A 21,239-nucleotide genomic window follows, 5' to 3' on the forward strand; every position below is an offset into this window, starting at 1 on the left:
GCCTTGGCCTCATGGAGTGAGGCCCCAATGGGTCAGGGGAGACAAACAGTAAACAAGTAAATGAATGAGATGATTTTATATCACAGAGTGGGGAGGCAGGAGAGCATAGCAGGAGAGGCAGGCTGTCTAGGTTTGAATCCCAGCTCTTCCCCTTGTTACCTTTGACCCTAGGGAAGTGGCCTTACCACCCTGTGCCCGGTTTCCTCATTTGTAAAACAAGGACAATAACGTCCTTTCCACAAGAGCGTTTGTGAAGTTGAAGGAGATCCAACTTGTAAAGCACGTAGGACAGGCCAGACCCAGTGAATTTGTGACTGTGGAGTGCTGGTGGCTCTCAGCACTTTTGGAGGCCGAGGCCAGAAGATCACTTGAGCCCAGCAGTTCGAGACCAGCCTAGGCAACATAGCAAGACCTCGCCACTACAACAAATTTTTTTTTTTTTTGAGACTGAGTTTCACTCTTGTTGCCCAGACTGCAGTGCAGTGGCATGATCTTAGCTCACTGCAAGCTCCGCCTCCTGTGTTCAAGCGATTCTTCTGCCTCATCCTCCCGAGTAGCTGGGACTACAGGCATGCACCACCACACCCAGCTAATTTTTGTATTTTTAGCAGAGACGGGGTTTCACCTTATTGGCCAGGCTGGTCTCAAACTCCTGACCTCATGTGATCTGCCCGCCTCGACCTCCCAGAGTGCTAGGATTACAGGCATGAGCCACTGCACCCAGCCCAAATTTTTAAAAATCAGCTAGGTGTGATGGCACATGCATGTAGTCTCAGCTACTCAGGGTGAGATAGGAGGTTGAGACTGCAGTGAGCTGTGATCACACCACTGCACTCAAGCTTTCTCAAAAAAAAAAAAAAAAAAAAAAAAGCCAGGCTTGGTGGCTCATGCCTGTAATCCCAGCACTTTCGGAGGCCAAGGCGGGTGGATCATGAGGTCAGGAGTTTGAGACCAGCCTGGCCAATATGGTGAAACCCCGTCTCTACTAAAAATACAAAAATTAGCCGGGCATGGTAGCGTGCGCCTGTAGTTCCAGCTATTCAGGAGGCTGAGGCAGAAGAATCACTTGAACCCAGGAGGCAGAGTTTGCAGTGAGCCGATTGCACCACTGCACTCCAGCCTGGATGACAGAGCGAGACTCTGTTTCAGGAAAAAAAAAAAAAAAAAAAAAAAAAGGCACGTGGGACAGTACTTGGCCTATAGGAGGCGCTCGAGAGACACTGGCACCAAGATACTGGATGTGAGGACTGTAAAGGGCACATAACCCACATTGGATAGGGTGGTCCGGGAAGGCCCGAAGGTGAGGGCAAAGGCCCTTAGCTTGGAGACAGACCAGAAAGAGGACCTGCATGGCTGCAGCAGATTCAGCCAAGAGGAGGGCACAAGATGGGGTGACGATGAGTGCCATATTCACATATGACCTTGCTGGGCTCACACCAGGGCTGGTGTGATCTCTGCTTTGTAGACGAGAAAACCGAGGCCCAGAGTGAACAAGTCACTTTGCAGAGTTGTACAGCTAGTAAGCAGCAAAGCAAAATTCAAATCCAGGTCGGCCTGTCTCCATTATACTCTGCAGCCTCTGAAAGCCATCACGAGCTATTAATACACGGGCATGCGAGTGATGTCCCCACCCTCACCTTCCTGAGTCGTGCTTGCTCTCTCTCCACTTGGTGGGGGACAGTTCTGGGCAGGCCTAAACCCTGAACCTGAGGGTGTGGCCACCCCTACCCACATCCCAGATGGCTCAACCTCAGGACTCCAGTCATGCCCCGGGTGTCTCCGGTTCCCAGCCCTTTTCTCCTGCCACCTTCCTACCCTGCCCGGAGCCACAGCCCAGCCACACCTGCTTAGATCTCTGCAGGGGCAAGTCAAGGCCAGATAACCCCACAGGCAAGTGCCCTGGTGGCTACGCTCCTCGAGGAAGGACATGCACCCCTCTCCACACACTCCCACGGGTGCACACGATAAGCCAGCTTGCGCATCGCATGACTCTCACCCCAAACATGCAGGTAGGGACAAACTGAAAGGCAAAGAAAAGTCTGCAGTTCTCCAGCTTTGGGGAGACAGGGCCAGGGAGAGTGCAACCAGACAGAGGAGTTCTTCTCCCTGCCCTTTTCAGGAGGAAGACATTCCCTCCTGTTCCCTTTATAAGGCAGCTGCTGAAACAGGATCTCCCGTTTGCAGGGGTGGGCGTGGGTCAGGACTTGGGTGGTTTTTGTTGTTCTTCAAATGCAGAGGTGTGTAGCTGACCTCATTTGCAGAGCTGATGACCCAGGCTCTGGGCTTTCTCCAGCCTGTTGATGCAACCCTGGCTCAAATGTCTGTTGTAGTGAGCTCTGAGGCGAGCAGTGAGGACGGGATAGAAGTGCCCTCGCTGCCACCAGCCAGGCCGCATGGCTTGCACGCTGACCCCATGCTCTCAGACACCGAGGAGAATGCATGGGGTCTTCCTCCTACCCCCAGGCCACAAGGCTGGAGTTTTGTTTGGGTTTTTTTGTTTGTTTGTTTTAGTTTTGTTTTTCTTCTTTTTTCAGACGAAGTTTCACTCTCTGTGCCTAGGCTGGAGTGCAGTGGTGTGAGATCACGCCACTGCATTCCAGCCTGGGCAAGAGAGTGAGACTGTCTCAAAAAAAAAAAAAAAAAAAAAAAGAAGAATGCGTAAGAAAGTGGGAGCAGTGGTTGCTTCTGGTAGTTGAAACTGGAGGATGGGATTGGGAGACAGGGATGCGTGTTATATCATTTTAATCCTTAAAAAAAATTCAAGGGCCAGACGCAGTGGCTCACACCTATAATCCCAGCACTTTGGGAGGCCGAGGGAGGCGGATCACCTGAGATCAGGAGTTCAAGACCAGCCTAGACAACATGGTGAAACCCGGTGTCTACTAAAAATACAAAATGTAGCCGGGCATGGTGGCAGGCGCCTGTAATCCCAGCTACTCAAGAGGCTGAGGCAGGAGAATCACTTGAACCCGGGAGGTGGAGATTGCAGTGAGCCAAGACTGCGTCACTACACACCAACAAGGGTGACACAGCAAGACTCCGTCTCAAAAAAAAATTTTTTTAATCAATAAATGAAGCAGGCCTTCTCAAATGTTATTGTGTATCAGCATCATCACAGGCAGCTCAGTCAAATGCAGATCCTTGGGCCCTGCCTCAGGGGATTCTGATGCGTGTAATCTGGGATGGGGCCCAGGAATCTTCATTATTTGCTGAGCTCCTGATAATTTCGATGATGATCATTTTCAGATCACTGGGGAAGGCGAGAGCCGGGAGGAGCTGGGGCAGAATCTTTTCCAGAGCCCCAAGGTGGTTTGGTTGGATTTCAGAAAGTGGAAGTGAGGCTTTTGCTTCTGTTTGTGGGAAAAGCAGGTAAACTGTCCTTAGAATCAGCTGGAGGAGGCAACTGCATCAGCTCTGATTTGTTAAGCAGTTGTCATGTGCAGACTCTGCTAACGCTCAGAGAATGCTCACAGCCAGCCCCATATTACAGATTAGGAAACTGAGGCTCTGAGAAGAGAATTCCTCACCCACACCCATGTAGGTGATAACGGGGCTAGAATCTGGATCAGCCATCTGGCCCCGCAGCCCTGGTCTGTACCTCTCCATGCTGCATGCTGCCTTCATTTTTGTTGTTGTTGTTGTTGTTTTTGAGATGGAGTCTCACTCTGTTGCCCAGGCTGGAGTGCAGTGGCATGATCTCAGCTCACTGCAACCTCCGCTTCCCAGGTTCAAGCGATCCTCCTGCCTCAACCCCCCTAGTAGCTGAGATTATAGGCACGTGCCACCATGCCTGGCTAATTTTTGTATTTTTAGTAGAGATGGGGTTTCACCATGTTGGCCAAGCTGGTCTTTAACTCCTGACCTCAGGTGATCCACCCGCCTCGGCCTCCCAAAGTGCTGGGATTACAGATGTGAGCCACTGCACCTGGCCCATATTTTTTTTTTTTTAGGAGATGGGGTCTAGAACTCCTGGGTTCAAGTGATCCTCTCGTCTGTTCCTCCCAAATGCTGGGATTATAGGTGTGAGCCACTGCACCCAGCCCATGCTGCCTTCAAAGTGATTGATTAATATTTTCCTCTTTATATTTTAATTATTATTTAGTTATTATTTTTTTGGACACAGGATCTTGCTGTGTTGCCCAGGCTGGCCTTGAACTCCTGGGATCAAGTGATCCTCCCAACTCAGACTGAGTTGTGTGAGTAGCTGGGACTGCCCAGCTATGTTTTTCTCTTTGAGGTCGTACCCAGGGACTCTTAGCCCAAGATGAAGCCATCAGTACCTAAGGGAAAAGGCCAGGCATGGTGGCTCATGTCTGTAATCCCAACACTTTGGGAGGCCGAGGTGGATGCATCACTTGAGGTCAGGAGTTTGAGACCAGCCTGGCCAACATGGTGAAACCCCATCTCTACTAAAAACACAAAAATTAGCCAGGCATGGTGGCAGGCACCTGTAGTCCCAGCTACTCAGGAGGCTGAGGCATGAGAATTGCTTGAACCCAATAGGCGAAGGTTGCAGTGAGCCAGGATCACGCCACTGCACTCTAGCCTGGGCAACAGAGCCAGACTCTGTCTCAAATAAAAAAAAAAAATAATAAAGTAACTAAAGGAAAAGTCAAGGACATAAGAAATCTACCCACTGGCTCCCAAACCACTCTACGGTGGGGCCATTGTCCATGGTGGTTAAAGTTGTGGGCTTTGGAGTCAACGTGCTAAATATTTAAATCCAACTTCTACTTCTTACTGGCTGTTTCACCTTGGATGGGTTATTTAACTTCTCTGTGCCTCGGTTTACTTGTCTTTAAAAGGTGATGTACTGATCAGGACTCTGCGTACCAGCAACAGAACAGACTGAAACATGGCGCCGCAAAAGAGAGTCTTCACTGGCTCACGTAGCCGACAAGACTAGGAGATGGGACAGCATTTAGGCATAGCCATATCCAGGGACTCAGACACCCTCACCAGGAGTCTCTGTCCCTTGTTTACCTTTCCATGTTTGCTGTCATTCTCAGTCAGTCTCTTGCCTCCCCCTCCCACAGGGGGTTTTCGAAACAGTTCCAGAATAGGACGTGGTGCCTCATGCCTGTAATCCTAGCACTTTGGGAGGCCAAGGTGGGCGGATCACCTGAGGTCAGGAGTTCGAGACCAGCCTGGCCAACATGATGAAACCCCATCTCTACTAAAAATACAAAAGTTAGCCAGGCATGGTGGCACATGCCTGTAATCCCAGCTACTCGGGAGGCTGAGGCAGGAGAATCGCTTGAACCTGGGAGGCAGAGGTTGCAGTGAGCCGAGATCGCACCACTGCACTCCAGCCTGGGTGACAGAACGAGACTCTATCTCAAAAAAAAAAAAAAAAAACTGAGTGTGGTGGCTCACGCCTGTAATCCCAACACTTTGGGAGGCCGAGGAGGACAGATTACTTGAGGTCAGGCATTCAAGACCAGCCTGGGCAACATGGTGAAATGCCATCTCTACTAAAAATACAAAAATTAGCTAGGTGTGGTGGCACACACCTGTAGTCCTAGCTACTCAGGAGGCTAAGGCGCGAGAATCGCTGAAACCTGGGAGGTGGAGGTTGCAGTGAGCCGAGATCTCACCATTGCACTCCAGCCTGGGTGACAGAGCAAGACTCCATCTCAAAAAAAACAAACAACTGATGCTCGTTATCTCTCGTTGGCCCTGCTTAGAGCACATGACAATTCTGTGCTAGTCATCGTGTCAGGGTGGGTGCTTGGAGAAAGCTTCTAATTGGTCAGGCCTGGGTCACATGCTAATACCTGGAGCCAGGAAGTGGGGTCAGCCCCACCCAGAGCCCATATTAACAAAGACCTGTTATCAGGAGAGGGGGTGTGGGGAGAGACACCAGGCAGGCAGGAATGGCAGGTGTGCACTGCCTGGAGACAGTGATAGTACCTTTCCCCACCTCTGCCCGGGCCTGGCATGTCTACAGGCTCTGATAGACGTTCATATTGTTATTGTTCCTCACCTGGTGCCTGGTGAGACATTGGCAGCTGCCAGTCCAAAGGGACAGCCAGAAGACACTGCCAAGTGTCAGTTCCAGCCATGGCGCTACCGAGGGGTGCGGTGTGTCGGGCCCTGGGTGCCAGAGCGCATCCACCTCTGTCTTAGTCTGTTTTGTGCTGCTATGACAGAATATATGAGATCGGATAATGGATAAAGAACAGACATACATTTCTCACAGTTGTGGGGGCTGCAGGTTCAAGATCCAGGCACTGGCAGGATAGGGCCTGGTCTTTCTACTTCCATGATGGGGCCTTGAATGCTGTGACCTCTGGAGGACAGGAACGCCACGTCCAAATACAGCAGAAGAGAAGAAGAGAGAGAGTCCACTCCCGCAAGCCCTTTCTATAGTGGCATTCATCCATTCATGAGGGCTCTGCCCTAAGCTCCTCCCACTAGTCCCCACCTCCCAACAGTGGCATTGGGGGTTAAGTTTCCAACACGTGACTTTTGGGGGAACACACATCCAGACCATAGCAGCCTCTGAACCACCATATCCACCAGATCTTTTGCTGGGTGGCCATGAACGGGGTGGCTCCAGGGAATTCAGGAGACACTCAGAGGATCAGCTCGATGGGGGTATGGGCACTTCCAGGCTGAAGGCTCCTCTGAGCTCAGCTCTCAGCTGCCAGGAGGTGGATTTCATGAGCATGGCTCGGGGACCCCTCCCATGCAGGGCTGCAGTGGCAGTGGAGAATGCCAGCCCAGCCGGCGGATCTCCCCGCCTCAAGCCAGGAGCACCATGGTGCATGTGCCAGCCTGGTCTAGGGGGAGTCACAGGTCTCTCTGCATCTATTTCAAGGTTGTAGATTTCATGGCTTTTTTTTTTTTTTTTAACCACCCCACAAAGTAGGTCACCTGCTCCTCTTCCAGCTGCCTTTAAGATTCTTTGGAACAAGGCAGTTACTGTCCTTTGATTCTGAGGACATCCGCCTTTCTGGCCCTGAGTACCGCTAAGGGGGGCCAGGCAGGTCTGTCGAGGACACTGGCGGCCTGGCAGCCGTGTGGCCTGGGTCAGGTAGAAGCGAGGGGCGGGAACAGAGAATTCGAGTGGGAGGAGGGAAGAGGAGATGAGGTGGAAAGGGCCAGGCAGTCGGAGTCCCTGTGTTGGGTCCCGTCCTGGTTGAAGACTCTGAGCTGGTAAGTTTCAGACCATTTTAAGGAGTATTCACTCGACTTTTAAAATAGGCCATCCCCAGCCGGGCGCGGTGGCTCACTCCTATAATCCCAGCATTTTGGGAGGCTGAGGCGGGTGGATAACCTGAGGTCAGGAGTTCGAGACCAGCCTGGCCAACATGGTGAAACTCTTTCTCTACTAAAAATACAAAACTTAGCCGGGCGTAGTGGCGCTTGCCTGTAGTCCCAGCTACTCAGGAGGCTGAGGCACGAGAATCGCTTGAACCCAGGAGGCAGAGGTTGCAGTGAGCCAACATCATGCCGCTGTACTCCAGCCTGGGCGACAAAGCAAGACTCTGTCTCAAAAAAAAAAAAAAAAAAAAAAAAAGCCATCCCGGTTTATATTGGGCCAGGAAAACCCAGCCTAGACAGCAGGCCCACGTGTTGGTGGGCTGGGGCCTTTCTGAGTAATGCAGTTTTTCTCCCCAGGGGTTGGCCGGAGACCTACGACATGAATACCTCGGAGCCCAAGACGGAGCAGGAAAGCATCACTCCTGGGGGCCGGCCCCCCTACCGCAGCAATGCTCCCTGGCAGTGGAGCGGGCCCGCATCCCATAACTCTCTACCAGCCTCCAAGTGGGCCACTCCAACCACTCCCGGCCATGCCCAGTCCCTGAGCCGGCCCCTGAAGCAGACCCCCATAGTCCCCTTCCGGGAGTCCCAGCCACTGCACAGCAAGAGGTAAGCACCTGCTGGGGGGACCAATACTTCCCAACCCCCACCAGCCCACACCCATCCTCCGCCCCTCCCTCTCCTCACTATTTCCTCCATCCTCTTCCTCGCCTCAAGCTTTCGACCTTCCTTCTTATCCTTATGTCTCCCTTGTTCCTCCCTCCCTCCTTCGTTTCAGCTTTCACCGTTGGCCTCTTGTCTGGGGACCCAGTGCTGGGGAGCTCTGGGTTAGAAATCCATTATACTAAGTAGACGACTGAAGCTCTGCTTTTTAGGCTGGGCACGGTGGCTCACGCCTGTAATCCCAACATTTTGGGAGGTCAAGGCAGGAGCATTGCTTGAGGCCAGGAGTTAGAGAGCTTGGGCAACATAGCAGAACCCTGGCTCTATAAAAAACATTTATTAAAAATTAGCCAGGTGTGATGCACACCTGTGGTCCCAGCTGCCCAAGAGGCTGAGGTGGGAGGATGGCTTGAGCCCAGAAGTTGGAGGCTGCAGTGAGCTGTGATTGCACCACTGCACTCCAGACTGAGCAATACCTTATCTCTGAAAAATAAAATAAAATAAAACTGTTATTTTTAAGGTGAAGGGACTGATAAGCACAAAATTTAGGACAGTGACTTCTTCCTGGAGGAGGCAGGGAAATGGGAAGTGGGGAAGCCCACAGGTAGATGTTAGCACCACCGTTCTAGTCCTGGGGTTGGCTGGTAGCTTCAGGGAGTTTGTTTTATGATGATGACAAATATAACTTAACAGATACTCTTTTGAAGATATTATATATTAAAAGATAAAAAGAAAATTTTCCAAAAAATGAAGGAATCCAACTTGCAGAGGGACATCTTGTCCCCAGGGGGCAGAGGCGAGAATGGTCTTGAGCAGCCTGCAGAAGCTGTGAGTTGCGGGCAGCCGCAGTGGATCCGGGAAGAGGGGGCCCAGGAGCATCCCAGCTTCTCTCGCCCTGTGCTCAGCATCCTCCCCTTCATCCTGAGCAGTGAATAGCAGAAGGGATGTGGCTGGGCGGGGGAAAGTTCGGTTGGTCTGTCTGTCTGTCCGTCTGTCCATCCATCTGTCTGTCCGTCCATCCTCCCAGGGCAGGGGTACCCTCCTACTCACCCTCTGCCTCCTTCCTCCCCTGTCTCCTTCTAGGCCTGTCAGCTTCCCAGAAACCCCTTACACAGTATCACCAGCAGGGGCCGACAGAGTCCCTCCCTACCGACAGCCTTCTGGGAGCTTCTCCACCCCCGGTTCGGCCACCTACGTGAGATACAAGCCATCCCCAGAAAGGTCAGCCTCCCTCAATTCTTTTCATGTTAAGGGATCTGATGAAAGCTGTGCCTCCTTCTTCCCCAGCAAATGCACACCCCCACAATTCTAGTTGCCATTTTATGGTGTTTCTGGACCCCTGAAGGTCCTCAGAGGAGCCCCATGGGGTGGTTATGTCTCAAGTTTTGGAGCAAAACTGGGCCGGGCTGGGCAGGACCCATCGTTGGCTTTCCTTGCAGCAGAATTTTGATTGCTGTTCTCTTGACACCTGTCAAGCAAGAGCATCCACTATCCAGCACGGCCATGCATCTAACTCTCTCCAGCCCTAAGCCCCTAGGACCAGGCTGCCAGCATTACCCAGTTTTCGAGATCTTTCAGGATTCAGTTCTGCCCACTTGCGTCCATCTGCAACCTGGCAGCCTGAGAGATCTCCCCAAACCCTCCATGGCTCCCCACCAGCCTGAGAGATCTCCCCAAACCCTCCATGGCTCCCCAGTGCCCTCAGGATAAACTTGGCATTCAAGGCCCTTCAGGCTCTGGCTCCGGCTGAGCTTATTCCCCAGCTGCCTTCAGCCCTCGTGCCCTCTGTTCTTCCTCTGCCCCCAGGTCCCTGTCTCAGGGGCAGCCACATCAATCCTAGTCCTTGGGCCTGAGCTGTGGCCCTCATCCTGTGAATGTCCCCTTCCTCCTCCTCCTTGCAGTGGTCCTCCTCCTGAGCATCTCTGTCACCCACCCTCTCCTCCTTTCCCTGTTCTCTTGCCCAGGCCACCACAGTGGGCTTCCAGCCTTCATCTCACCTCCCCTGGTCTACCCTCCACTCAACACTCAACAGCCAGAGGGATCTTTCTGTGTCTTTTTTTTTTTTTTTTTTTTTTGAGACCACTCTGTCGCCAGACTGGAGTGCAGTGGCGCAATCTCAGCTCACTGCAACCTCCACCTCCCGGGTTCAAGTGATTCTCCTGCCTCAGCCTCCCAAGTAGCTGGGACTACAGGCTCTCGCCACCACGCCCAGCTAATTTTTGTATTTTTAGTAGAGACGGATTTTCACCATGCTGGCCAGACTGGTCTCAAACTCCTGGCCTCAAGCGATCCGCCTGCCTCAGCTTCCCAAAGTGCTGGGATTACAAGTGTGAGCCCGTGCACCTGGCCAGATCTTTCTATACCTGAACATGCCTGTCCCCTGCTCCAAACCCTCCCACCACTCCCAGAGCCCTCAGGACACAGCTTTGGCCCCTCCCTGTGGCCACCAGGGCCCCTGCGAGTCTCGTGCAGTGCCACACTTTAGCCACACTGGCCACTCCCAGCTTCCTAGGGGGACTGTCTGTATTTCAGAGCCTTGATGGTGTTCCTTCCTTGGCCTGAATATGCTTCACACTCCTCGCCCACACTCCCCCCATCCTACCAACTCAAGCTTCTGTGCCCCTCTCCAGAACCCTTCTCTGGAGCTCCCTCTTGAGGCAAGGCACTGCCCCCCAATTCCTGTGTATTTCCTGACTGTGGCCTTGAGCACTCTTCATCCTTATTAGCCAGCTAAGAGTGTGTGTGCTTGCGCACGTGCATGTATGTGCACCTGTAAGAGAGCGAGAGAGAGACAGAGAGGGTAAGCGTGCTCTTCAAGACCTCCCATCACATAGTACACAGTCCGACACATGGCTGATCTTTGGTATATATTGGATGAAAGGATGGAGTGAGTGGGTTTGTTAAAATGAAACCACCTGCCTTAAGACCAGGGATCAGGCCACCAAACCAGTGGTTCTCAATCTTTAGCAGGCATTGGAATCACCCAGAGGAGGACTTGTTAAAATACAGATTATTGGGCCTGAGCCCCAAATTTCTGACCTGGTAGGTTCGGGGTGCTGCACCAGGGACCATTCTCTGAGAGTCACCACAGTCATCCATTGTTAGATTCTAAGCCTCTTGTTCAATTGGAGAAACACGCCCACTGTTTCTTCTTCTAGTAGCCACCATTCAGCTTTCATTCAGCAAAGGGTCTCAAGAGCTTTCTGGCGTGCCAGGAGGAGTATTTGAGATACTCAATTACGAGGGGGTTCTGTAGTCAGCCCTTGCTGACTGTGATGGAGAGGATCGTAAAAACCATGTGCACTCTGATGAGCACTCTAATAGAGGAAGAGGGAACACAGCCCAGCACTGGAGGTCTAGACTGGCTGCCTGGAGGAGGTGACATCTGAACAGAAGTTTGAGGGACTAATAGGAGTCTGCGACAGAGAGGAGAGAAAAAGTCATTCCAAACAGAGTAAAGGCCACAGATATGAACAAGCAGGATGCTGTGAAACACAGGAGAATCAGAGAGGAATCGGGTGTGTGCGGGACATGGGGTGTGGGGGCACCCAGGTGACAGCAGGGGCTGAGGTTGGAAATGGCAGTCAGAGTGACTCACCAGTAACAAAGGTGGTGGCAGTGGTGTTACCGAAAGCTCTTGGGAACTGTTGTTGTTGTTGTTGTTTTCTCCTAAAGTCTTGGTATCTGCCTTTATTATTTTAACTTTTTATTTTGTAATAATTACTGAGTCACAGGAAGTTGCCAAAAAAAACATACAGGTGGCCGGGCACAGTGGTTCACGCCTGTAATCCCTGCACTTTGGGAGGCCGAGATCGGTGGATCATCTGAGGTCAGGAGTTCGAGACCAGCCTGGCCAACATGATGAAACCCCGTCTCTACTGAAAATACAAAAAATTAGCTGGGTGTGGTGGCACGCGCCTGTAATCCCAGCTACTCAGGAGGCTGAAGCGAGAGAATCGTTTGAACCTGGTAGGTGCAGGTTGCAGTGAGCCAAGACTGTGGCACTGCACTCCAGCCTGGGCAACAGGAGCAAAAACTCCGTCTCAAAAAAAAAAAAAAAAAAAAGAATACAGGGAGGTCTTGTGAACCTGAACCCTTCACGCAGCCTCCCCTATTGTTAACATCTTGTATGGTTATAACGCAATATCAAAGCAAGAGGTTGACATGGGTACAGGCCTACAGCTTATTCAAAATTCACCAGTTATACATGCACTCATTTGTGTGTGTGTGTCTGTAGCTCTGTGCAATTTTATCACATGTGAAGTGTTGTGTAACCATCACGAGGTGCCTCATGCTACCCTTTTATAGCCACACCCATCTCTTCCCCCTGTGCCTAACCCCTGGCAACCATTCACCATTCATCTGTTCTGAGGCTCTTTTTTTTTTTTGGAGACAAAGTCTCACTCTGTCAGCCAGGCTGGAGTGCAATGGCACGATCATATAGCTCACTGAAGCCTCACTCTTCTGGGCCCAAGCAGTCCTCCCATCTCAGCTTTGCAATTAGCTAGGACTGCAGGCATGCACCGCCACACCCAGCCAATTTTTCTTTTCTTTCATAGAGACAAGGTCTCGCTGTGTTGCTGAGACTGATCTTGAAGCCCTTGCCTCAAGCCATCCTCCCACCTGGACATCCCAAAGTGCTAGGATTACAGGCGTGAGCCACCACACCCAACCTGTCTTTTAATTATTGTTATTTCATGATGAATGTTAGATAAAAAGAATCAGATGTACGTATGCTTCAGAGGTTGTCTTTTTCACTCAGCAGAATGTCCTTAAGGTTCATCCACGTTGTCGCGAGTCTCTAGTTCACTCATTATGCTGTTTATTCCGTGGTCTAGATATACCACAGTTTAACCACTCACCCATCAAAAGACATTTGGGGGAGTGCATATTCAGGGCACTTTGAATCTATGCTGCTGGGTTGAAATAAAGTTTTTTAAAATATTAAAAATATATTTTAAAAAGATTTAAAAAGACATTTGGGTAGTTTCCGAGTTTTGGCTATTATAAATATTCATGCGGTGAACATGTACATTCAGGCATACAGGTTTCTGCATGAAAATAAGTTTTCATTTCTCTGGGATAAATGCCCAGGAGTACAATTGCTTACCGTATGGTAAGTCCATTTTTAGTTTGAAAAGGAACTGCCAAACTGTTTTCCAGAGTGTCTGTATCATTTTACATTCCCACCAGCAGAGCGTGAGTGATCCGGGTCTCCACATCCTCACCATTTGGCGTTGTCACTGTTTTTCATTTTAGCTACTTTTGATAGGTGTGCAGTGATATCTCACTGTGATTTTAATTTGCATGTTCCTAATGGCTAAGGATATTGAACACCTTTTCATGTCTTATTTGCCACCCCTGTATCCTCTTCAGTGAAGTGCCTGTGCGTGTCTTTTGTGCGTCTTCTAATTGGGTGTGATGGTGTTCTGTGTCTAAGAGTTCTTTGGACATTCTAAATACAAGTCCTTTGTCAGATATGCGATTTGCAAATATTTCCTCCCAGCCTTTAGTTTGTCTTTTTTACAGGGTCTTTCACAGAACAAAAGTTTTTTATTTTATTTTTTATTTTTATTTATTTATTTATTTTGAGACGGAGTCTTGCTCTGTTGCCCAAGCCGGAGTGCAGTGGTGTCATCTCGGCTCCCTGCAACTTCTGCCTCCCAGGTTCAAGCGATTCTCATGCCTCAACCTCCCATGAAGCTGGGATTACAGGTACGCACAACCCTCCCAGCTAATTTTTGTATTTTTAGTAGAGACAGGGTTTCACCATGTTGGCCAGGCTGGTTTCAAACTCCTGGGCTAAATCAAGTGACTCTCCTGCCTTGGCCTCCCAAAGTGCTGGGATTATAGGCATGAGCCACCACACCCAGCCTAAGTTTTTTATTCTGATAAAGCCCAAATTATCTTTTTTTTATTATTATTTTATGGATCAGGTTTTTGGTGTTGTCTAAGAACTCTGCTTAGTGCTGGGTCCTGAAGATTTTCTCGTTTTTTTTTCTGGAAGTTTTACTCTTTTACATTTAAGTCCATGATCCATTTTGAGATTTGTTTGTTTTAATTTTTGTGTAAGGTGAGAGGTTTAGGTTGAGGTTCCTTTATTGCCTATGGTTGTCTGATTTACTCCAGTGCTATTTATTGAAAAGGTTACCCCCACTCCACTGTACTGCTTTTGTTCCTTAAGGCAAAAATGGGGGAGTGCAGAATTAATTGGATATCCTTGTGTGGATCTGTTTCTGGGTTCCATTGATCTATACGTATGATCTCAGTGAGTCCTCCCAGCAACTCCTTGAGGTGGGTAGTTTAATTGCCCTCATTTTACAGAGGGAAACTACAGCTCAGTGAGGTGAATTTGCTTGGCTGAGGTCACTCTGCCAGGACGTAACAGAGCCAAGATGAGAACCCGGGACTATGGTTCCAGAGGGCTGACCCTGACGTAGAACTTTGGGAGGCTGAGGTGGGAGGATTGCTTGGGCCCGGGCTGTCAAGGCTTCAGTGAGCCAGGTGTGTGACATTGCACTCCAGCCTGGGTGACAGAGTGAGACTCTGTCCCAAAATAATTAATTAATTAAGAGGGAAGGGGCCGGGCTCGGTGGCTCAAGCCTGTAATCCCAGCACTTTGGGAGGCTGAGGCGGGTGGATCATGAGGTCAGGAGTTCGAGACCAGCCTGGCCAAGATGGTGAAACCCCTTCTCTACTAAAAATACAAAAGTTAGCTGGGTACGGTGGCAGGCGCCTGTAGTCCCAGCTACTCGGGAGGCTGAGGCAGGAGAATCACTTGAACCCGGGAGGCGGAGGTTGCAGTGAGCTGAGATCGCGCCACTGCACTCTAGCCTGGGTGACAGAACAAGACTCCATCTCAAAAAAAAAAAAAAAGTTGGGGGAAGGAACTGGATCACTTGCCCACCCCTCAACCCCTGGCAAGGTCACATTGCACCTCTGTGGCTGTGTTAACTGTGAGGATTTACTCAAGTCACGAGACAGAGGGCTGGCTGCCAGAGTGGAATCTGGGCAAGCAGGAACGGAGGTGATGGCTGCTGGGGTGGCAGCCAACAAGGCTACATCATCTGACCGTCATTTTGCCCAGGCATCCTGTCATTCACCTGTCTATTGTTTCATCGGTTGATGTGGGAGATTGACAGAGCGGGCTGGAGCTCTCTGCCCGGCGAGGCTCCTGCCCACAGTCCTGTCTGTTTTGGTGCTTTCCTCTGTGGCCAAGAGGGAAGCTCAAGCCAGCGTCCCGTAGCCCAACCCTGCTCCCCGTAAGGTTCCTCCCCAGAGTCAGTACCTCCAGCTTCTGCCTGGAGACATCTGAAACCATAGCTAGTCAGCTCATCCCAAAACACCAAACCCTTTATAAAGTGAGTTATCTTCCAAGAAGAGATAATTACTTTAAAATTACTCAGATGAGGTTAAAGACAGCAATTTGATCTTCTCTTCTGCCGGGGATGTTTCCCCAGAGCTGTGTGTGATGAGATGCTGGAATGTCCCGATTTCTAATCAGTTTGACCAAAATTGGACAGTGATAGACATGGTCTCAAATGGGATATATTCAGCATCCCAATGAATGGTCAACATAGGTCAGTTTGCATTGGGATAATAAAAAGTCTTGTTAGTTGGGTGGGGCACAGTGGCTCACACCTGTAATCCCAGCACTTTGGGAGGCCGAGGTGGGCAGGTGCAAGCAGATCACTTGAGGCCAGGAGTTTGAGACCAGCCTGGCCAATATGGTGAAACCTCATCTCTAATAAAAATACAAAAATTAGCTTGGCACCTTGGCGTGTGCCTGTCTTCCCTTGGGAGGCTGAGGAAAGAGAATATCGCTTGAACCCTGGAAGTGGAAGTTCGCGTCACTGCTGCACTCCAGCCTAAGCAATAGGGCAAGACTCCGTCTCAAAAAAACAAAAAAAGTCTTGTTAACAAGAGAAGTACATGGTTGGATAAAGTACGGGTTGTCTGATTGGGGAAAGTAGCTGAGAGATGAAACAAGGTAAAATATGCCCAACTAAAGAGGAGGGTCTATGTATTACGATTAGGTTTAGCTGCATAGTATACAAAATAGTGGTTCTGACAAGATTGTTTCTTTCCCCACATTGACGGGAAACCAGGCCCCCCCTCCTTGATGTATTGCTGTCCTTGGCCTTTTGCCTCCTGGTTCAAAGTGGCTGTTCAAGCTGTAGCCTTGAGGAGGTGGTGAGGCAAAGGCATCCACAGCACACTCATGAGGAAGCTTCGAGGCTGGAAGTTATGTGTGGCACCTCCACTTTTATCTCATTGGCCAGAGCTGCAAGGGATCCTGGGACATGTAGTCTGGTGATCCAGTCTCATTGCTGCCCCAGATACAGTTGGGATTCTGTTACCAAGGAGGAAGGAGAGGCTAGTCATGGGGAGCAGCCTGCAGCATCCGCCACTCAGACTTTCCGCCCTCCCCGGGCTCATCCTAGCCATTTTTCCTGAGTGCTGAGGATTTCACAGCGACTTTTTGGGAAAACTGAGTAAGTGCATCAACACTCCGAACTCCAGCAAGGATGGAGCCACATTTTACCAGGCAGCTAGCCAGGTGTGAAGTCAGCTAGTAAGATGAAGATTGCTTATAGTCAAAGTTGCTTTTGTAAAATCCCTTTGATTGCTGGAAACTGGGCCCTCAGACATTGAGAAAAGTAAGAATTCACGTTTCGTACTTCCTGTGTTTGGGCCCTGTTTTCCTTTCCTGGAGGTGTCAGTGGTCAAGGTCTGGTTGAGGGCAGGGAGGATGGTGTGTTTTTTCCTGGCAAGTGAGTGGAGTTGAGTTTTCAGAGAGTGCAGTGCCCCTTGAAACACCTCTCTACTGTGCTCAGGGCATTGAAGCCAGGGGATTAGGGCAGGGTCCCTGTAGAGACAGTCCTGGCTTTGAGCTGGCAGGGTGACCCTGGATAAGTCAGTTACTTCCTCTTTGGCATCTTGGGGGATCCTAGTTTATCACCTCACCTCCCCCTACCAGATCCTCCCAAGTTGAAAATACAGATGCCAGGAGCCAACCAGGGAATTGCAATATCAACACTTTTTTTTTTTTTTTTTTTTTGAAATGGAGTCTTGTTCTGTTGTCCAGGCTGGAGCGCAGTGGCACAGTCTTGGCTCACTGCAACCGCAATCTCCGCCTCCCAGGTTCAATTGATTCTCCTGCCTCAGCCTCCCAAGTAGCTGGGATGTCACAGGCACACACCACCACACCTGGCTAATTTTTATATTTTTAGTAGAGATGGGGTTTTGCCATGTTGGCCAGGCTGGTCTCGAACTCCTGAGCTCTAGTGATCTGCCTGCCTCGGCCTCCCAAAGTGCTGGGATTACAGGCGTGAGCCACCACACCTGGCTAATATCAACATTATTAATGGAGGCTCAGTAACTCCCCCAGAGCACAGGGCCTGTGTCAGTGAGGTGCTTCTGGCTGAAGTAACCAAAATTTGGCTCAAACATTGTAGGAATTTGTTATCTCACAGAAAAGGAAGCTCAGGAGCAGGGCAGGTTCCAGGGAGGGTGAACCCAGCATCTTGACCACATTATCAAGGGCCAGATTCCTTCTGCCTCCTCTCTTCCACCATCAGAGTGGGTCTTACCTGCAGCCTGGTAGCAACAGGGCAGCAGCAGCTTATGATGTTAAATCTGGACCCAGCAGCATCTGGAGGGCAAAGAGAGGCCATCTTTTCTTGTCATCCCTCTTAGGAGCAAGGAGATTTCCCAGAAGCCTCTGGGCAGACTTACCCCATTTCAGTCAGACGGTGCTGGGTAACAGACACCTGAAAGTCTCCGTGGCTTAAATCAGCAACGTTTATTTCTCAGCCCCTCCGCAGTTCCACTGCTGGTTGGCAGGGACCTCTCAGGACCCAGGCTACCCAGGCAGCCAGCAACTCCAAGTCACTTCCCTGACAGCTCAGCTATGAGCGCTGGTCACATGACTCCATTCAGCCAGTCTCAAGGGACCTGGAAGTGTGTCCTGCCACCTGCTTGGAAGTGGAGAACTGGAATGTTTTGTGGGCGTCTTAATAACTCACCTCCCTTCGTGTCTCATCAGCCAAAATTTTGTCACAGGCCTGTCTCTGAACCAACCTCAGACAGGGAGAAGACCTTCTACCACAACCGGCTGTGATCCAAGGAGGACTGGACGTTAGGAAGTGTCTACAAGATTCACCCCATGGTTGTAGACAGGGCCACTGGGGCCGGGCATGGTGGCTCACATCTGTAGTCCCAGCGCTTTGGGAAGCTGAAGTAGGCAAATCGCTTGGGCCCAGGAGTTCAAGACCAGCCTGGGCAACATGGTGAAACCCATCTCTACAAAAAAATACTAAAAATTAGCCGGGCGTGTAACATGCAGCTATAGTACCAGCTACTCAGGAGGCTGAAGTGGGAGGATCGCTTGAGCCGGGAGGCGGAGGTTGCAGTGAGCTGAGATTGTGCCACTGCACTCCAGCCTGGTTGACAGAGCAAGACCCCATCTCAAAAAAAAAAAAAAAAAAAAAATAGAGAATGCCACTGGGACAGGAGGGCACAGTGAGAGCCTTCTACCACCACCTCCCTTAAATCCTAGCCTTGCATGTGGGTGTGCGAAGCTGGCCTCCAGGAGGACCTCTGTCTAGGGGATAACTTTATTCCATCCACTCCCCAACTCTATGAGGTAGAAAATGTTACCTCGTGAGCTGGGCGTGGTAGAACACACAGAGTTCTAGCCCATCAGCCAGGTGTCCCAAGTCACCATGTGTCAGGAATCAAACCCCTGCCTAAACACTGGACATGACGGGGCATCCTTCAGTCCTGAGAAGAAGGACCTACTGTTATCGCCTCTTGACAGCTAAGGAAACTGAGGCTGTGGGCTAGGAAGTGGCTGCATCTGTCTAGGCAAGAGGCCATGGTGAGCTTTGAAGCCCCAGTTGCCCAACTCAGGGCCTGCTGCACCCATGAATGCTTCCCAACCTGCTGTCTCCATCAGAGCAAGGCAGCCCGAGAGAGGCCTGGGGCAGTAGCTGCTGGGGACATTCACCCCATGTCACAGCCAGAAAACAGGACCCCTGAGAGGAGCCCAGGGGTAGGGCTGTCGGCCCAAGCGGCCTCTGCCCCCTCCTTCCCTTAGGAACCCGCCTTGCCCCGCCGCCACCAGCTCCCTGGCAGGCTTCCCAGGCGAGACTCTCATCCCGGACCCGCAGCTAATAGCACGTTTCCAGGCTTACTCATCCAGCCTTCCTAACCGCTTTCTCTCATCCACAGCGGAGCCTCCCGTGTGTCTAAAACCCACTGGCGAGCAAGGCTCAGGCTCAGGCTCAGGTGGTTTTCGACATAGGCTGATCTTTAACCCTGGGCACGTTCTTCTCATCCCCTGCAGGTACACGGCTGCCCCACACCCCCTGCTATCTCTTGATCCCCACTTCAGCCACGATGGGACGTCCAGCGGCGACTCCTCTTCCGGCGGCCTGACCAGCCAGGAGAGCACCATGGAACGCCAGAAGCCAGGTAGGGCCCCCACCAGCTGCTGCGCCCACCCGCCTGCCTCACTCCGCAGGACCTCTTACTTAGAGCTTGACAGGCAACACTCCCCCTCTTGTGAGTGACGGATAAAACACAAAAGAAAGCTGTAAGCGCCACATGTAAGACTAGAGAGGGCACCTAGGAGAGCAGCGGAACCAGCAAGCGAGATCCTTATCCGTCCAGACAGGGCATCGGCAGGTGGCGTCTGCTCCCGCTGATAAGGCCAGAGCCGGCGTGCAGCTGTGTGACATGGAGCTGGGAGCCACCAGGGAAGGTAGCTGAAAAAGATTAAGCATTGAGCTCTCAGGAGCAGGACTGGCTGCGTCCCGTGGCTTTTCATTACATAAACCCTCCTGTGTTGTTTTCAACTTTTATGGACATACGGCACATGTTAAGAGCCCACATGGCCAGGCGGGGTGGCTCACGCCTATAATCCCAGCACTTTGAGAGGCCGAGGTGGGAGGATTACCTGAGGTCAGGAGTTTAAGACCAGCCTGGCCAACATGTGGAAACCCCATCTCTACTAAAAATACAAAAATTAGCCGGGCATGGTGGCATGTACCTGTAATCCCGGCTACTTGGGAGGCTGAGGCAGGAGAATCACTTGAACCTGGGAGGCAGAGGTTGCAGTGAGCTGAAATCGTGCCACTGCACTCCAGCCTGGGTGACAGAGCAAGATTCTGTCTCAAAAAAAAAAAAAAAAGAGGCCAGGCCAAGGCGGGCGGATAATAATTTGAGGTCAGGAATTCAAGACCAGCCTGGCCAACATGGGGAAACCCTGTCTCTACTAAAAATACAAAAATTAGCCAGGCGTGGTGGTACATGCCTGTAATCTCAGCTACTCAGGAGGCTGAGGCAGGAGAATTGCTTGAACCTGGGAGGCAGAGGTTGCAGTGAGCCGAGATCGAGTCACTGCACTCCAGCCTGAGCGACAGAGCAAGACTCTGTCTCAGAAAAAAAAAGAAAAGAGCCTACATGATGAAGACACAGCCTGATAACCTATCGCAGAGTGGACACACCCAGGCAGGAAATATAACATGGCTAGCCTCTCCAAACCCCCATTCCCCTCCCAGTTAGTACCCCCAAAGGAACCCTGTCCTACTTCTCAGCCTGAGCTTTGCCTGGTTTTGAATTTCATAGAATACAGAATCACACTGTGTCTATTTTGTGTATGTGTGTCTGGTTTCTGTCACTCAGTGTTACATTTGTGACAGCCAGCCAGTGAATGTACATGGTATCGCAGTATCTGAGTGGTATCCCCCGTTGTATGAATAAGCCACAACTTATTGCCACATCTTGGTGTTGATAGACATTTGGGTTGTTTGCAGTTGGGCTGCCTAGAGCAGTGTTGCTAGGAACATTCTTGTGCCTGTCTTTTGATGAACATAGGTTCACATTTCTGTAGGGTATACACCTAGGAGTGAAATTTCTAGGTCATATTTTTAAGTTGATTTTATTTTATTTATTTATTTATTTATTTTTTAAACGGAGTTTCGCTCTTGTCACCCAGGCTGGAGTGCAATGGCACAATCTCGGCTCACCGCAACCTCCAACTCCTGGGTTCAAACAATTCTCCTGCTTCAGCCTCTCAAGTAGCTGAGACTACAGACATGCGCCACCACACCTGGCTAATTTTTGTATTTTTAGTAGAGACGGGGTTTCACCATCTTGGCCAGGCTCGTCTCGAACTCCTGACCTTGTGATCCACCCGCCTCAGCCTCCCAAAGTGATGGGATTACAGGCGTGAGCCACCGCACCCAGCTATTTTATTTTATTATTCATTTTTTTTTTTTTTTTGAGACAGAGTCTTACTC

General features: G+C 50.7%; 1 protein-coding gene across 8 annotated transcripts in view, besides 1 other annotated feature; it reads left to right on the forward strand.

Annotated features, from left to right (window-relative positions):
• The window catches only part of SIPA1L3 (signal induced proliferation associated 1 like 3), a 301,162-nt gene that overhangs the window by 226,350 nt on the left and 53,573 nt on the right, over window positions 1–21,239 (forward strand). For 7 of the 8 annotated variants that reach the window (XM_047438486.1, NM_015073.3, XM_017026518.3 and 4 more), the window contains 3 exons: window positions 7,627–7,878; window positions 9,016–9,153; window positions 19,283–19,410. In XM_047438486.1, the coding sequence (XP_047294442.1) occupies window positions 7,627–7,878; window positions 9,016–9,153; window positions 19,283–19,410 (518 nt within the window). Of the gene's footprint in view, window positions 1–7,626; window positions 7,879–9,015; window positions 9,154–19,282; window positions 19,411–21,239 lie in introns of those variants that run through there. The other variant, XM_047438490.1, reaches the window with a different exon arrangement.
• Window positions 9,974–10,823: an enhancer, noted in NCBI's record as "H3K27ac-H3K4me1 hESC enhancer chr19:38634171-38635020 (GRCh37/hg19 assembly coordinates)". NCBI's record gives its function as "activates a minimal SCP1, AML or CMV promoter by ChIP-STARR-seq in primed H9 embryonic stem cells {active_cell/tissue: H9 hESC(primed)}" and the evidence as "EXISTENCE:reporter gene assay evidence [ECO:0000049][PMID:30033119]".

Source organism: Homo sapiens, chromosome 19 (genome assembly GCF_000001405.40).
Source record: "Homo sapiens chromosome 19, GRCh38.p14 Primary Assembly".
NCBI lineage: Eukaryota > Metazoa > Chordata > Mammalia > Primates > Hominidae > Homo > Homo sapiens.